Source organism: Homo sapiens, chromosome 2 (genome assembly GCF_000001405.40).
Source record: "Homo sapiens chromosome 2, GRCh38.p14 Primary Assembly".
Taxonomy (NCBI): domain Eukaryota; kingdom Metazoa; phylum Chordata; class Mammalia; order Primates; family Hominidae; genus Homo; species Homo sapiens.
Genome location: NC_000002.12, coordinates 151,289,678 through 151,308,048, shown reverse-complemented (window position 1 = coordinate 151,308,048; position 18,371 = coordinate 151,289,678). Strand labels below are relative to the sequence as shown.

At 41.8% G+C, this 18,371-nt stretch overlaps 1 long non-coding RNA gene across 1 annotated transcript, besides 2 other annotated features; it reads left to right on the top strand.

Annotated features, from left to right (window-relative positions):
• Positions 1 to 1,149: 1,149 nt before the first annotated feature.
• LOC107985827 (uncharacterized) lies at positions 1,150 to 4,328 on the top strand. The gene is made up of 3 exons (XR_001739220.1): positions 1,150 to 1,166; positions 2,256 to 2,341; positions 4,241 to 4,328. It is a non-coding gene; the product is annotated as an uncharacterized LOC107985827 (long non-coding RNA).
• Positions 17,793 to 18,212: an enhancer, noted in NCBI's record as "active region_16634". NCBI's record gives its function as "activates an Ori minimal core promoter by ATAC-STARR-seq in GM12878 lymphoblastoid cells {active_cell/tissue: GM12878}" and the evidence as "EXISTENCE:reporter gene assay evidence [ECO:0000049][PMID:35858748]".
• Positions 18,273 to 18,352: an enhancer, noted in NCBI's record as "active region_16633". NCBI's record gives its function as "activates an Ori minimal core promoter by ATAC-STARR-seq in GM12878 lymphoblastoid cells {active_cell/tissue: GM12878}" and the evidence as "EXISTENCE:reporter gene assay evidence [ECO:0000049][PMID:35858748]".

Genomic DNA, 18,371 nt, shown 5'->3' with positions numbered 1-18,371 from the left:
TAGCAGCAGTGACAGAGAAAAAATGGAGCAATAAGTAAACAAGGAAATTATCAGATAATGATGAGTGCTTTGAAAGACTCAGCATAGGCTGACATGATAGAAAAGAGGGTCAGGAAAGGCCTCTCTGAGGAGGTGACATTGAAGCTTAGATCTGAATGACCTGAAGGAGCCAGCCATGCCAGACAGATGGGAAGGCTGGAGCAAAAGCCCTGTGGCAAGAATGAACTTGACCAATTCTCCAAAAACAAAAGGGAGAGCAAGGTGATGAAAGAGCTTAATGAAAGGGGGAACTTACTGTGAGGGGAAAGGTAGGCAGTGGCAGGTACTGTGGGGCTGCGTAAGCCAGGTTGGGCATATGGAGTTGAATTTATATGCAGTAGGAGGTTTTTCAGCAGGTGACAACATGATTTAATTTATGTTTTAAAAAGATCACTCTGGTGTCTCATCAGAGGAGAACTTATAGTGGATTAAGAGGGGGAGCAGGGAGTCATCTCAGGAGGCTACTGCAGTTGTCCAGGGAGAGTTGATGGGATGGTGGCTTGGATGGTGATGGCAACAATGGAGAAGGGAAAGAAGTGTACTGGTTCAGGGACATTTTGGAGGTTTGCTCTTGAGTTGGATGAGTAGCAAGAGGGGGTAAGAGCTTTCAAAGATAGTTTGATGAATGCAAATCCTTTATTCACTTTTGTTACCAGGAATTTAGTACTAAGGATTTTATTCACCTTTGTGACCAGGAATTTAGCACTAAGTATTAGTCAAAAGAGAAAAGAGTGTGGAATCCTTTTGCACATCCTTGCCGATGGCTATTGGGTCAAGTGGAAAGGTAAAGAAGACTTGTTTTTGGACAGAGGCTGACCTTGGGGATACTAAGCATTTTCTTGAGGAGGGGAGTTCTTTGGCTAACAATATTTAATATGCCCTCGCAAGATACCAAAACCAACCAGCAAGAGACGCATAGCATCTACTGAGGTGCCAACAATATCAGAAGTTGAAGATGCCAACACAAAAGGACCTCTTGGGCCTTTCTTTTAGGTGTGTCAGTGAATGTGAGATGTGGAGAGACAATGGAACATGGTTAACTGAAGTCTTTTTCAAAAATGCCTTCTAGGAGACCATCAGGCTGCCTACTGGAGCTTTGGCTGCTTTTCTAGCCAAATAGGAAATGTGTGAGTGTCCTAAGGGCTCGGGCCCCGTCTTAGTCATCTTTGAATTCCCACCCAAGGATTAGCAGAATGCATGACATAATACATTGCAAGAGCTGAGTGAAGATTTAAGCAAAGGGAAAAATGATAATTGTCCCAGAGGATAGTCCAGCCCTTTGTATGCTGTAACCTCAATATCAAATTTATGTTTTGTGGTTTGGCTATGATCCCATTAAGGCTAATTTCTCTTTCTTGGGAAACATTCGATCATAATCAATTCCTTTGTTCCGTTTTTTTTTTTTTTTTTTTTTGAGACAGGGTCTCACTCTATCACCCAGGCTAGAGTGCAGTGGCATGATTCAGCTCACTGCAACCTCCCGAGCTCAAGCGATCCTCCATCCTTGGCCTCCCAAGTAGCTGGGACCACAAGTGTGCACCACTGTGTCTGGCTAATTTTTGTATTTTTTTTGTAGAGACAGAAAAATACCCAGCTTGGCTAGTCTCAAACTCCTGGATTCAAGCAATCTGCCTGTCTTGGCCTCTCAAAGTGCTGGGATTACAAGCATAAGCCACCATGTCCAGCCTTCCACATGTTTGATTAAATATGCTAAACCCAATTTTCCAATGTACATTTACAAAATAATTTTTATTTTTTGTTCTGTTGCAAATTTTTGTGTCACTTGATAACTAATTGCCACCTCAGTTATATTTACTTATATGTACAAACATACTATATACAAATTTTCTTCATTTGTTAAAGAAAATAAAATTTAATTGAATAAAAATTATGAATACAAATAAACAAGTGTAGAAATAAAGGGTACCCATAACTTTGCCTTCAAAGAAACTTTAAAGATTTACACAGGGACTTTTTTCTATGTATATATACGCATACACACACACACACACACACACACACACACACACATTTTGTGGGGGTGACAAAAATGGGATCACTGTAGACTTAATGTTTTGCAATTGGATTTAAATATTCTTTTAAAATATAAGTAATATAATTAATAAGTGGGAACTTAACTTTGAGTTCAGAGTGTGCTGCTTCTTCTTTTTCTCTTTTCTTTGACAGTATTTCTTTTTATACCTTTTATAACATAGAACATTATTCTATGAGCCCAACTGAGAAAATGAATGGAAGTTCAACTAAGTAAGATGTCAGCCCAACTTAAGGACTTAGGCATCTGGTGAGTGGTTGGACAAGATGACCTCTGATTTCTCCAACTCTGAGATTCTGTGAATGGAGACAGGAGATAGGAATTTGTAAGGCTAATTGGACTGAAAAGACTGAATTACTGGTATAAGGGAGTTCTGGGAAATTAGGTTGGAAAGGTGGATTATGGCCTGGTTGCATTTACATCTTGGCTCTCCAGCTGGGCATGTAGATGCATGTTGGGAGCAAATGCACATCAAAGAAGAGTGACAAGATCAGGAATCTTCTGCTTCCCCTTCTCCTTCCCCTTCCCCTTCCCCTCCCCCTTCCCCTCCTCCTCCTCCTTTTTCTTCTTCTTCCTCCTCTTCTTCCTCTTCTTCTTTTTTCTTCTTCTTTCTTCTTCTCCCTTCCTCTCCTCTCTTTTCATCTTCCTCTTTTCTAACTTTTATAGAAAATGAATATCAAATTCTCTCACTTTTATGGGCCTCCTCTTCCTTGAATTCCCATATGAAGTAACTTGAGCTCACTTCCCATATAATGAAGGAAAGTTCTATGCCAGATACACAAATCTGTCCTCTCTTTTCCTATAAATCTGAAAACAGTAAATCTCCATAAAGACAGGGACTAGTTTTACCTACATCGTCTTACAATAGTATACAAAGACTTGCATGCAAATAGGACTCACTACAATTTTTACTTTTTATTTTTTAATTATGGTAAAATACACATAACAAAATTTATCATCAACCATTTTTAAGTGTACATTTCAGTGGTATTAAGTACATTCACATTGTTGAACAACCATCACTACCATCCATCTCCAGAACTCTTTTCATTTTGCAAAACTGAAACTTGGCCGAATGCTGTGGCTCACGCCTGTAATCCCAGCACTTTGGGAGGCTGAGGTGGGCAGATCACCTGAGGTCAGGAGTTCGAGACCAGCCTGGCCAACATGGTGAAACCCCGTCTCTACTGAACATACAAAAAAAATTAGCTGGGTCTGGTGGCAGGCGCCTGTAATCCCAGCTACTTGGGAGGCTGAGACAGGAGAATCGCTTGAACCCAGGAGGTGGAGGTTGCAGTGAGCCGAGATGGCGCCGTTGCACTCCAGCCTGGGGGACAAGAGCAAGACTTTGTCTCAAAAAACAAAAATAAAAACAAAAACAAACAAAAAACAAACAAACTGAAACTCTATGCTCATTAAACAATAACTCCCCATTCACTCCTTCCCTCATCCCCTGGCAACCACCATTCTATTTCCTCTGTAAATTGGATTATTCTAGGTTCCTTATATAAATGGAACCACACAATACTTGTCCTTTTGTAGATGACTTATTTCACTTAGCATAATGTCCTCAAGGTTCATACATAATCTATTCTATACCAGACTTTCCTTCCTTTTTAAGGCCAAATAATACTCCATTGCATCTATATGGCACATTTTATTTATTGACTCATCTAACTAAAATTATTTTGATAAGAATCCTGTAGCCCATAGATCCATTAAGGCCACAGACTTCTTTTGGGCCTGCAAAAGTCACCACTGTATCACTTAAAAGTTTCCCAACATTTCCTGATTTTGTTTGACAGCCTAGAATTCTTTGAGATGCTTTTTATTCTCAGACATAGCTGCTGTTCTTTCAGGGATCAGGGTATCTTAGGGCCAGGGCTGTGGTTAAATAGGAAGAAGGGTAAGATCAAGGCCACAAGTAGGTTAATATTACCTTATTCAACAAGTATTCACAGGTCACTCTTTTTGGAAAACACCACCTTAGTTGCTTTGGTAGCTACTCTATATCACAATGGCCAGGTGGCCTTTGGGTGGACAGAGTGATATAATTTGTAAATCAATGGGCTTGACACTACTTAGACTCTGGGCTTAATAACCAAGATAGACTCTTACAGAGAAGTTGTGCTTTTCACACACATGCAGGCATTTCCACAAGTCAAGAAACAGCAGAAGATACTGGACGCGGTGGCTCACGCCTGTAATCTCAGCACTTTGGGAAGCCAAGGTGGGCAGATCATGAGGTCAAGAGATCAAGACCATCCTGGCCAACATGGTGAAACCCCCATCTCTACTAAAAATACAAAAACTACCTGGGCGTGGTGGCGCGTGCCTATAGTTCCAGCTACTCAGGAGGCTGAGGCAGGAGAATCGCTTGAACCTGGGAGGCAGAGGTTGCAGTGAGCCGAGATTGTGCCGCTGTACTCCAGCCTGGGTGACAGAGTGAGACTCCATCTCAAAAAAAAAAAAAAGAAACAGCAGAAGATGGACAAGAGACTCTGCCTCCCATCTTCCCTTCACAACTCACCCTCCTTACCCCAACTACCTCCTTCCGGTGGCTTGGTTTTGAGGCCATGTTGTAAATTAGCTGCAAAAGAAGACCAGGGAAGACGTTTCTCCTACACCTTGCAAGCCCCCCTGTATTTTCAGTATTTCTGGTAAGGACCTCACCACATGTGGTGCAGAGCATGGTGCTATGCAGAATGATGTAGAGAGAATGAATTTTCCCTTTCCAGACACATTTTATGTTATCACTGTTGTCAAAGCAGATGAAAAATCAGGTTGCCGCTGAGTCACAGCCTCCACAATGGCACACCCCCTCTCCTCCATGTGTCCAGAGAACTGATGTAATTTCTTAAGAGATTTCTCAGGAAAACGTGATTCTTTCTGTGTATCTCCCAGTAATGTTACTTTGGTTTATGCTCATAAAAGCATAGGTTGGCTGTAATCTTAATTAGCCCTCACTGAACAATATTTTTCTTATTTTTTTCCTAGGGTTTTCTTCAGTAACCATATCTAATTTTTTTGTCATAGCAGTGTGCCCCAAGAAAAAGTTTCAGACAGCAGAAACAGATCTAAAGATTAATAGCATATAAAAGATTTTCTACTTTTTTTCCCAAAAAGTGAAGCTAATCTGAATGAAATATAAGAAAGTGTAATTTTTCTAGACGTTTATGTCTGTACCACAGCAGGGGGGTTCCCTTGTAAATGAGTTATCTTTTTTTTCCAAAAAGAAGTTTATTGCAAGGAGGCTTATTAACTAGTCCTGGGAGTTGATGAAAGTCCCATCTCTTTGCCTGGGGTGTGTAACTCAGTGGGAGTCAGTTCCACACGGAGTTTTGGTGGCGATGATCTCACTATTTTATACCTCATGTCTACACTTTAGTTTATGTAAAAAAGTTCCTTTCCCTGATGAAAAATGTCCCGTCTGTGACAAAGTTGTTCTTGCCTTTTCGTGTGTCCTTTTTTCCTCCCAGTTGGACATGAATCACACTCTTCATATTTTGGTATGTAGTAGTTATTAATTAATTCAACCAGTTGAAGACAGTCCCATGCCAGATTGTTACTGGCACTTGTTATTTGACATCTGTGGGTACAACTGGTAATGAGCAGGCTTTATCTGAAATCCTCAGTCAGCAGCACAATATTCCAGGAGATGGGACCATCACAGCTAGCATGCACGCCCTGCTGCTTTCTGCCTCCCACCTAAAGGCTAGGAGATGGCCACATAGATGCAATGATCTAGGGCTAATAAAGTATGGGCTTCCCTAAAGTTGCTTCCTTACTGGACTACTAGAATAACATTAAAGTTAATTTAAAAATTTCTAATTGATATATAATATTTGTACCTTTTTATAGGGTTCATATATTTTGTTACAGGCATAGAATGTATAATAATCAAGTCAGGGTATTTAGGGTATTTATATTTTTGTACTGAGAACATTTCTTTCCAGTATTTATTTATTTGTATTTCTTTGTACTGGGAACATTTCAAGTCCTCTCTTCTAGCTAATTTGAAATATACAATACAATGTTAACTGTAGTCACCTATTCTGCTATAGAACATTAGAACTTATTTTTTCTATCTAACTGTATATTTGTACCCATTAACTAACCTCTTTCCATCCCTGCCACACTCTTCTCAGCCTGTGGTAACTACCATTCCACTCTCTACCCCTGTGAGATCAACGCTTTTAGCTCCATGTATGAGTGAGAACCTGCAATATTTGTCTTTCTGTGCCCGGCTTATTTCTAAAGATAATTCTTTAGGTTAATATTTTAGCTCTGTAAAATTTCATTTAAACTAGAGCCCTTAACCTAGGTTCCGTGGACTCCCAGGAGTCTATGAATGGCTTAGGTGGTAAGTGAAACATCTGAAATTTCATGCAGGTTTTGTGTATGTAGGAATGCTTCTGGGAGAAGAATTCCTAGCTCTCATCAGAGTCTCAAATATATCTGTCCCTCCCTCACTCTCGAAGTGATTTGGGGGATTGCAGTGTGATATATGTATAATAGTTCCCAATCATTTAGTCAATTAACCTTTATTAATACACATAGGATAAAAGATTGCCTGAGAAGGGCACCGTATTAGTGAGGGTTCTCAAGAGAAACAGAACCAATAGGATATTTATAGATATATGGAAAGAGATTGATTGTAAGAGATTGCCTCATGTGATTGTGAAGGTTGAGAAGCCCCACAATCTGCCATCTGCAAGCTGGAGCCCCAGGAAAACCAGTAGAGTAGTTACAGTCCAAGCCCAAAGCCCTGAGAACCAGGAGCTCTGGTGTCCAAGGACAGAAGTAGATGGATGTCTCAGCTCAAGCAGACAGAATAAATTCACCTTTCCTTTGCCTTTTTGTTCTATTTAGGCCTTCAATAGATTGGATGATGCCTGCCCACATTGGAAAGAGCAGATCTCCTTTACTCACTCCACCAATTCAAAAGCTACTCTCTTCTGGAAACACCTTCACAGACATGCCCAGAAATAATGTTTTCCCAGCTCTCTGAGCATCCCACAGCCCAGTCAAACTGACCCATAAAATTAATAACCACAGGCACTATGTTAGACATTTTTGGGAGAAACACAGATACAGCACAACTCTTATTTTGGAAAAGATTACCATCTTTGGGAGAATGAATTGTATAATCGTTCCCCAAAGACAGCAATGCAAGGCTGTAAATGTGCCCAGTAAGTGGTATGGACAAAATGTGCTAAAATAATTTAGAGAATGGAGGGATCACTAGTGGCCCTTGGGTTGCTGGAAAAGGAGCTTAAATTGAGGCTGAAGATGCATCAGCAAAGCCTGACACTGGTGTTCAGTCAGCATGCTCTAGAGGTTTAGACCAGTTGTTAAATAATGAAATATTTTTGTGTCATTTAGTAAGTAGTAGCAGTCTTCCCCCATCTCCATCCTAGCGCCTTCACCAAGCTGGCCATACCTGTTCCTCCACCAGGAATTCCCAACTTCTCTTCCCCTGAACTTCCTAAGATCTAGCAACTGAGGGATTAATGGCCAGCCTAGAAAGAATTCTCTGGGACACTGCTCCAGCACTCTGGTGAGAGCCATTCTCATGGTTCAATGTCCATGCTGAGCAGTTGTGTTTTCACTATCACCACTGCATGTATAGTGTGTGTGTGGGTTTGTTGAAAGTTCACTTGTCTGACTGTATGACTGAAATAATAGAAAGAAAAGAGGAAACAACTTAGGGGAGGAAAATAGTAAGAGAGAGGAGGCCTAGTATGTTCTGGAGTTGGATAGCTGACTAATTCAGTGGGATGTGGAAGGGAGTAATGGCTGATGAAGTTACCGATAAACTGTAGCCAGCCTGTGGTGGAAAGTTTGGTATTGGGAGTGACGGGAGGGAGTGTACATCTTACACTCTGGAATTTGGATTGTATATATGGGATGTCATCTGCAAGCGCTTAACATGTCGAATGACATGATGATACTGACCCTTTTAGAAGAATAATCTGGCACGAGTATACAGGATGAAAGGAAAGAGAATCATTAGCAGGGTAAATTCCAGATGTAGATTAGCCCCATGAAAAGTCCTGCGGGAAATTCAACTATGAATTTTCATGCAAGAGAGTATGGGGAAAAAGAGACACTGGCTGTGGCATGAGAAATGAAACTGGGCAGAATTTTTGAAATCAAGTTTTAAGAAATCTGTGCCATCTGATCACATTGCCCTTTGCAGGAGGCCAGATTAGGTTTGTGGCCACATAAAAGGGGCTGTATGAGCAGCAGAGAAAACAATTGCTGCTTGGTATATCTTCAGAGACTACATCACAAAAAACCCACTCAATATTACCCATCTTTCTTACGTGTACAGTTCATTAAAGAATATGGCAAAAATGGCCAGGCACGGTGGCTCACGCCTGTAATCCCAGCACTTTGGGAGGCGGAGACGGGCGGATCACGAGGTCAAGAGATCGAGACCACCCTGGCTAACACAGTGAAACCCCGTCTCTACTAAAAATACAAAAAAATTAGCCGAGTGTGGTAGTGGGCGCCTGTAGCCCCACCTACTCGGGAGGCTGAGGCAGGAGAATGGCGTGAACCCGGGAGGCGGAGCTTGCAGTGAGCCAAGATCGCGCCACTGCACTCCAGCCTGGGTGACAGAGCGAGACTCCGTCTCAAAAAAAAAAAAAAAAAAAAAAAAAAGAATATGGCAAAAATAAGAGAAACAGAATGAGTGAGAGAGAAAGATCTTAGACTTACTATCTGACTGACTTGTTTTTATGTGTTCTATCTAAATCTAGATCAGCAAACAACTAAGTCTTGGCAGCCCAGAATCCGTTCCTGGCACACACTGCACAATTCGAGGGGACATGAGGAGGCATTGTGTGGTGCCCATCCAGTGTCATTTTATGCAGTTGTCTTGGTGACTGTATTCAGGTCTTGCATTTTATATTTTAACCTATCAAATTATTTTCTCTATGCAACAGTCATCCCTTTCAACTCTTCTAATTATAGCTTAAAATCAGAGGACAATATTAATATTAATAATATTATTTAATTTTGCATTTACTGTTCAAAAAGTATTTTTATGTACATTAGCTAAATTAATCCTCACCAAACACCCTATAATTGGTAGGTAACATTATTGTCATCATTTTTACATTTGAGAAACTGAGAAATGGACCCTCGGAAAGCTAAAGGGAAATGCGATCAGTAGTAACATTTTTTTGAGCACCTATTATATACCAGATCCTTTACATATGCCCAAGTTCACAGAGCTAGTCAGGGTCAAAGCAAAGACTCAGCTTGGTTCTCCTGGTGATTTTAAGGTGGTGCAATTTCCATGACAAACCAGCCTACCAGGTGTTGTTTGTCCACCTGAGAAAACTTCTATTTGAGTATTGGCACCAAAATTAGAGTTCTTATTCTTCAAAAAGTTGAAAAACAGCTGAGGTCAATCTCCCAAAAGGCAACAACGTTTCCATTCCAATTCATAAAGTCGCGAAGCAGTAAGATCTGAAGGACACTGTTTTATTTTTATCGGAGATGAAGCTTGTTTTTATTTACAATTTCCCTGGACGGGTTTAAGCCCTGAGAAGGATGAATTAACTCTGCCTTTGTATATTAAACATTATCAAACATCCCCATGCAGATATTATGTTATTAAAATGAGTCCTGTGTGTGAGATCATTCTATCTTGTTACATTGTACACTAGGGCAAACTATTTAGAATAAATTGAAATGAATAATTAATGAAAGAGAAGAGAATACCTCTTTCAAGTTCCCATATACACTTGCCCTGTTCTTTTTTCTTGGCTTCTCTTACTTCCTCTTTCCACTCTTTAGTGTCATTTTGACTCATTTCCCCTCACTGTTTATTCCTTCCTTTCCCTCAGAGTAGCTATAATGGCAGCCTAGCTACAAGCAAGAAGCCAATGCTCTCTGAAGGAGATGGCACGAAAGATAGGAACAGCTCTTGCTCTTTCCTCAGGAAAAGCACACCAGGGTGTGGAGACAAAAGGACTCCATTTTGGATGCTGATCTGCCATATTGAGTCCTGATTAGCCCCAGTCCCATGAATGCCTCCTAATTCCTCATTTATTTACTGTCCTTAGTGTAAGAACATGTCAAACCTGATATTATCAGACAAACTATAGGCTATAATGCATATGGCATTCTTGCCTGTTTTGGAGGGTTGCTTTTAATTGTCTTGCTGGAGCACGTATACCCTTTCCCTGTGGTATATAAGCCCTGGGTCTGGGAAGCAACAGTGCAGAGATCTGCCTTGCCGCCACATTTCCATCTTAACTTTCCATTAAAACACTCCTTACTGACGAACTGGATTTGTCTGCCTTGTTCTTTGGTAGCTCAACTCCTTTGGCATTTGGGGGCTGCTTTGCATATACCGCCCCTTCATGAAACACAGGGACACCTAGAAATACCTCACTTTCCGTCTATGGACTCGGCCTCCAGGCTGGAAACAGTAAGAGGGTTCTGCGCTTCGTAATAGCCAGGTGGCACATAAAACCCGTCGACCAGAATGACAATCTCTGGTCATGATTTTAGTGAACCAGTTAGTGTACAGCCTTGTCACTCAAAGTGTAGCCCAAGCGTGTCCGGAATTGGTGGGTTCTTGGTCTCACTGACTTCAAGAACGAAGCTGCGGACCCTCGCAGTGAGTGTTACAGCTCTTAAAGGCGGCATGTCCTGAGTTTGTTCCTTCTGATGTTCGGATGTGTTTGGAGTTTCTTCCTTCTGGTGGGTTCGTGGTCTCACTGGCTCAGGAGTGAAGCTGCAGACCTTTGCGGTGAGCGTTACAGCTCTTAAGGCGGCGCATCTGGAGTTGTTCGTTCCTCCCGGTGGGTTCGTGGTCTCACTGGCTTCAGGAGTGAAGCTGCAGACCTTCTTAGTGAGTGTTACATCTCATAAAGGCAGTGTGGACCCAAAAAGTGCGCAACAGCAAGATTTATTACAAAGAGCGAAAGAACAAAGCTTCCACGCTACGGAAGGGAACCCAAGCAGGTTGCCACTCCTTGCTCCGACAACCTGCTTTTATTCTCTTATCTGGCCCCACCCACACACCCTGCTGATTGGTCCATTTTACAGAGAGCCGATTGGTCCATTTTACAGAGAGCTGATTGGTCCAACAGGGTGCTTACTGGTGCGTTTACAATCCCTGAGCTAGACACAAAAATTCTCCATGTCGCCACTAGATTAGCTAGATACAGAGTGTCCACACAAAGTTTCTCCAAGTCCCCACCAGAGTAGCTACAGAGTGTTGACTGGTGCATTCACAAACCCTGAGCTAGACACAGGGTGCTGATTGGTGTGTTTACAAACCTTGAGCTAGATACAGAGTGCCGATTGGTGTATTTACAATCTCTTAGCTAGACATAAAGGTTCTCCAAGTCCCCACCAGAGTAGCTAGATACAGAGTGTCCATTGGTGCATTCACAAACCCTGAGCTAGACACAGGGTGCGGATTGGTGTGTTTACAAACCTTGAGCTAGATACAGAGTGCTGATTGGTGTATTTACAACCCCTTAGCTAGATATAAAGGTTTTCCAAGTCCCCACCAGACTCAGGAGCCCAGCTGGATCCTGCACGGGGGCCGCAGGTGGAGCTGCCTGCCAGTCCGGTGCCGTGCGCCCGCACTCCTCAGCCCTTGGGTGGTCCATGGGACTGGGTGCGTGGAGCAGGGGGCGGCGCTCGTCGGGGAGGCTCGGGCCCCACAGGAACCCACGGAGGCGCGGGGGAGGCTCAGGCATGGCGGGCTGCAGGTCCCGGGCCGTGCCCCGTGGGAAGGCAGCTAAGGCCCGGCGAGAAATTGAGCACAGCAGCTGCTGGCCCAGGTGCTAAGCCCCTCACTGCCCGGGGCCGCCCGCCGCTCTCAGTGCGGGGCCCGCCAAGCCCACGCCCACCCGTAACTCGCGCTGTCCTGCAAGCACCGCGCGCAGCCCCGATTCCCCCCGCGCCTCTCCCTCCACATCTCCTCGCAAGCTGAGGGAGCCGGCTCCGGCCTTGGCCAGCCCAGAAAGGGGCTTCCATAGTGCAGTGGCGGGGCCAAAGGGCTCCTCAAGTGCCGCCAAAGTGGGAGCCCAGGCAGAGGAGGCGCCGAGAGCGAGGGAGGGCTGCGAGGACTGCCAGCACGCTGTCACCTCTTACAAGAAACAGCACCATCAGCATCATCTAGGAGCTTTTGGAATGCAAAATATCCACCCTAATCCTACAGAATCAGAATGTATATTTTAACATGATCTTCAGCTGATTTATATGGACATGGAAGTTTGTCAAACACTGGTGTACAGAAAGTCTTCTTGCCCAAAAACATATTTTTCCCTATCTTGTAACTATGCCACACATTTCAAGGGAGATCCACAGAAATAATTTATTATATCAAGATATATATTAGGCTGGGCGAATATATATCTTCGTAGATACATATTAATCTATTTTGATAGATTAATTAGGTGGTGGCTCATGCCTGTAATCCCAGCACTTTGGGAGGCTGAGGCTGGTGGATTGCTTGAGTCCAAGAGTTCGAGACCAGCCTGGGAAATGTGGCGAAACCCCAATCTCTATAAAAAATATACACATAAAAAATTAGCCGGCTGGGCGTGGTGGCGTGCACCTCTGGTTTCAGCTACTGGGGAGGCTGAGGTGGGAGGATCTCTTGAGCCCCAAGGCAGAGGTTGTAGTGAGCCAAGATCACGCCACAACACTCCAGCATAGGTGAGTGAGACCCTTTCTCAAAATATATATATGTGTGTGTGGGGGGGGGGGGCGGCGGGAGGGAATTACATTCCTATACTTAGGCTCACTAAGACCAACCAGAAGACAAATTTAACGTAGTACAAAAAGTTGAGCTCCTTTGCCTCTTACTTTTTTTTTTTTTTTTTTTTTTTGAGACGGAGTCTCGCTCTGTCACCCAGGCTGGAGTGCAGTGGCGCGATCTCGGCTCACTGCAAGCTCTGCCTCCCAGGTTCAAGCGATTCTCCTGCCTCAGCCTCCCGAGTAGCTGGGACTACAGGTGCCCGCCACCACGCCCTGCTAATTTTTTTGCATTTTTAGTAGAGACGGGGTTTCACTGTGTTAGCCAGGATGGTCTCGATCTCCTGACCTCGTGATCCGCCCACCTCGGCCTCCCAAAGTGCTGGGATTACAGGTGTGAGCCACCGCGCCCGGCCACCTCTTACGTTTTTTAAAATTCTGGATAGGTTAGTGACTAGTGAGTTTCTTTGTTGCAATCATTTGATACCTCTTGTAAAGTACTATTTCAGACAGGAAAATAATCAGAAACAACATATTCAAACACCAATCCAAATCTTGCTGCTTGACAATTTCTAGAATGCCTCTGGCAGCCCCATCAGGCAAAACAGACTACAAATTCCCAAATTAAAAAACATAGTCAAGGCTGGGTGCGGTGGCTCACGCCTGTAATCCCAGCACTTTGGGAAGCTGAGGCAGGTGGATCACGAGGTCAGGAGACCGAGACCATCCTGGCTAACACGGTGAAACCCTGTCTCTACTAAAAAACAAACAAATAAAACAAACAAACAAACAAACAAAAAACAATTAGCCGGGTGTGGTGGCGGGCGCCTGTAGTTCCAGCTACTAAGGAGGCTAAGGCTGGAAAATGGCGTGAACCCGGGAGGTGGAGCTTGCAGTGAGCCGAGATCGTGCCACTGCACTCTAGCCTTGGCGACAGAGCCAGACTCCATCTCAAAAACAAACAAACAAAACAAAAACAAAAATAAACAAAAATATAGTCAAGCAAAATACATGTCTTTTAGTATTTCCTTAGCTGTTTTCACTATGTTTATGCATGTTTTCTTAAAAACTGAGCTCCCTGAGAAGCTGAATTGACATATTTGGATGCTTTGCTCAATTCTTTCTCATTTGAGATTTTTGGCGATAAAAGTTAATATTTTTATTTTTCCAGCATTCCAAGGCTATGTTCTCTTTGGGTCTCTGAAAACCTCAAGATTCACTGGGCTTTTTCTCCTTTGTGATTTTAGGTTCAAAGCAAACAGTTGGGTTTATCCGACCATCAGTTCATCCTATGAGAGTTCTGTCAGAAGCCATTTTTGGTTTATAATTGAGAAAAGCAAAGCAGGAAAACATCAGCAGTATTCTCAGACTTTCTTTAAGAAATTTCCTTAATATAATATTGAGATTTACTGCTATCTTACAGCCTTGAATACTACAGATAAATGTTTATTTTTGAGCCTTTAGTTTATAAGCAAAACACTAATTGTTCTTCTTTATAGCATTGTCAAGGATACCAACTTTATTCTCTATGTACTTTATTTAACACAACAAAATTTTCTAAGTGATTGTTTATGTTTATATGATAAATCAGTGGTCCAGGCAGATTTGACAAGATAAAGTCCTTTATTCTTTAATTTTATTATTATTATTTTGCTTGAATTTATTTCTATTTCTAAGTATTTGATCTACCTCATAATATTTTATTCACTTATAAAAACTTATTCACACACATGAGTATGAAAAGCTATACAAAGGGGTTGTTATAACATTGGGTCCAGAGTATTTTACTCCTACTCTAGTATTTAATGACTAGTTAGAAATAACTATTTATACAGTGTGCACTAGGTACAGTTACTGCAGGTAACATAAAATAAATTTTTAAATGACCTTATTTCTTAAAAGTACTTTTCTAGGGAGGAAGAACAAAGATAAAGAAAATGTAAGAGAAAAATTGAAAAAAAATCTCACCGTAGTATAAGATGAAACAAGTACAATTTAGTGAGTGCTTTCCATGGGCAGAGCACTGTGTTTAGTCCTTGAAATGCATCTCTATCTCATGCACCACACCTTTATTTTATAGATGAGAAAATTGAAGCTGAGAAACTTCAGTAACTAAAAATTGAAATTCAAACCCATTTCTGACACCAAAACCATGCTTTATTTATTTATTTACTTTTTGACAGGGTCTCGTGCTATTGCCCAGGTTGAAGTACAGTGGTGCAGTCACAGCTCACTGCAGCCTTGAACTCCTGGACTCAAGTGATTCTTCTGCCTCAGTTTCCACAAATGCTGGGTTTATAGTCATGAGCCACCATGTCTGGCCAAAATCATGCTTTTAACTATACAGTACTGCTTGCCTGATAAAAGAGTAAGTATTTTCCTTTACCACTTATGTAGTCCAATGGGAACACTCTTGAAAACTAGAAGGAAGTTACAGAATTCATTTGTATCCCCCCAGGATCTTGCACAATACTGGGCATAAGTGTTCCAGTTTCCCCAAGGATGAACTGCAAACCAGATCAACACAATCTTAGCAACAGCAGCATAAGCTTGGTGTAGTAGCCTTTTCTTAAAAGAGAATCATCATGTAATAGATATCAGGTAGCTTTCTCATAGTTTGCATAATCACTAAACTCTTGGTGCCTCCCATTTGTTTTATGCTATATTAGTCCTTTTGGACTGTTATAATAAAACATCATAAACTGGTAGTTTATAAACAACAGAATTTATTTTTCACAGTTCTGGAAGCTGCAAGTCTAAGATCCAGGGTCCTGCAGATCTAGTGTCTGGTGAGAGCCAGCTTATTGATTCATAGATTACCTTCTGTCTGTGTCCTCACATGGCAGAAGAGGTCAACAAACTCCTTTGGACCTCTTTGATAAGGGCATTAATCTCATTCATTTAGGCTCCACCCTTTATGACCTAATCATCTCCCAAAGGCCCCAGCCCTAATACTGTCACCTTGGGGGTTAGGATTTCAACATACGAATTTTGGAGGAACACAAACATTTAGTCCATTGCACATCCCTCTGAGATTTTTCACCCGATCTTTCTTCTCAGTCTACTTTCTCTACCTTAATGAATCAACTCAATTTTCACCTCTTCTGTGAAGGAAACTTCCCTGACCTCCTCAGGTAGAGGGGACTACGCTCTCCTTTGTTTTTTACTACTTCTGGTATCCTACCCCTTCCAACACACATTAGACTGTATGTAATACTGGTGTGTGTGTGTGTGTGTGTCTTTATAGAAAGCCTGGGAGGAGTTCATTGCCATGTAGTCAGGGAGACAAATGTGTAACATAATATTCACCTCACATCTGTGTAGATTTACATGAGATATCCAAGGCACAGAGTGCTGCAGCTCATGTGCAACATATTTATTGAGTGCATGATAACATCAATAAATAACTTTTATATTAGGAGAGGGCGTAATTTACTAGAGCATTCCTCGAAAGGTCCCATCAGAAACTCCCCAAGATTTTAATAACTGTTCCTTGAAAAAAAGAATATATCGCTCAAATTGATTTGATAAGTTCAAGGTTGAATAAAGTTAAAATTTTTAATATGCACAAATTTTTAATTTTTCCCTGCAATACTTCTTGGAACTCTTAATGTGCCAATGTGCATTGTGAATTTCCAAAAGTGGATTCAGAATGCAGCATTTCCTAATTGTATTGGGCCATAAAATTCCATGTTCTCCATGTACCCTAGGACACAGTTTGGAGATATTGTTGAGAGTAGAGTATGATATCATTGTCACCATATATTAACTGCTTGATTTTGGGTCACCTCTTTATGCCTTAGTTTCCTCAACTGCAAAATGGGGATAATACCTTCCTGCCTGCTTCAGACAGGTGAAAAGAAATGGGAATAATACCTATATCTAATATTGTTGTTGGCAAAACAAAAAGGTTTATAAAATGTCCAGGAGTTCTTAGTAGATGTTAGCAATTACAATTATTAATAGTATGTCCAGGAGCCAACTCTTCATCTTCAGATCTCTAACACTTTGCAGAATACCAGATTTGAAGCTGAGTTAAATTCAGACTGTTAGTACATGTCTCAGCTTTAGAATGTAGGTGTCCAAAAAGACTTCCCCTCCACCTGTATCATTTGCCTTTTAAACAGAATCTGAGTCAATATATTAAGTTAGTCCTGTTCTGGCCATGGTCCTGTCCTTTAGTATCTTCTTGTAAAAAATAAAAATAAGAAGAAATGAGGTTCAACTAAATAACCTCGAGAGTTCATATTCCCTCTAAAATTTCAAGGTAAAACTAAAGTAATTCTTTCTCAAGTTGCAGCAGAAGGAGTTTTTGTATTTTCTAACTGGTCTGATAAGCACAAAGAAGTCGTTTTTTTTACTTAGAAATGCCATTTTACAGGAGGCTGAGGTGGTGGGATCACTTGGGCCAGAGCTCAAGATCAGCCTGGGAAACAGTTAGATACCTGCCCCCAGCACCCAAATTAAAAGTACAAAAAATCTGGGTGCGGTCGTGAATTCCTGTAATCCCAGCTACTTGGGAGTGGAGGTGGAAGGACTGCTTGAGCTCAGGAGTTGGAGACTGGGCAACAGAGCAAGACTCATCTCAAAAAAAAAAAAAAAAAAGAGAAATGTCACCACTTTAAACTGGTTCCCATCAACCTTTTTGATACAAAGAAATTTTACTTTTGTTAAACTATTTTAGACCACTGTATCAGTTATTATATGTGACTAGGTAGCATGATAACCTATAATTTATGCCTTGAAATAATTTTGACTCATTTTCTTCCCACATCTGTATTTATGAGCCGGGGCAGCTGTGGGGTGGTTCTTTGTGTGGGATTAAGAGACACTGCAGTTCTTGAAATAAACCAGATGTTTGAATTTTCAAAGGAAAAGTTCACACCTAGTGAAGTATTTATTTACAAGCTCCACAACAAAACAAGAGATTATAAGAAAACTTTCAAGGGACATGGGTCACAGAAACCAACAGGAACACCACAGCTTTCCCAACTTCATGGCCCCGGGGGATGTTACAAAAGACACAGAAACGCCGATCTTGTGCTGACTGTAAACATTTGTCAACTAGTGTTACAATGACTAAGAAATTACAAAAGAGTTACAATCTGATGAAGAGCGATTCCTGCTTTGACTTTATTTGGTTTCTATCCACTTTTCCAACATACCTTATAAAATACATGCAAAAAACTGGTTTTAGAAAGCGTTCCCTAAAATTAGTGTGTACGGAAACTTCAGGTATACTTCTGCTTTCCTCCGCAAAACCACCCCTTTTTAAAAATCGAAAGTGAAATTAGTTTTTTTTTCTGTTAGTGACTAATCATTGGAGACAACCATGTTTAGTATTTGAGCATTGGTTAAATGCTAAAGAAAAATCGCCGTTAAAGCAGTTTTCTTTTTCACTGTCTTTTTCTTTTCGCGGGGAACCCAGCTGTTCCTGCGAGGGCCACCTCCTCAGGAAGACCCCGCAGCTCTCCCGCGGCGCTTCTGCAGGAGGCAGCGACAGTTTCGAGAACCCGGGCCTTCCCCTCCCAGTGCCTCCCGG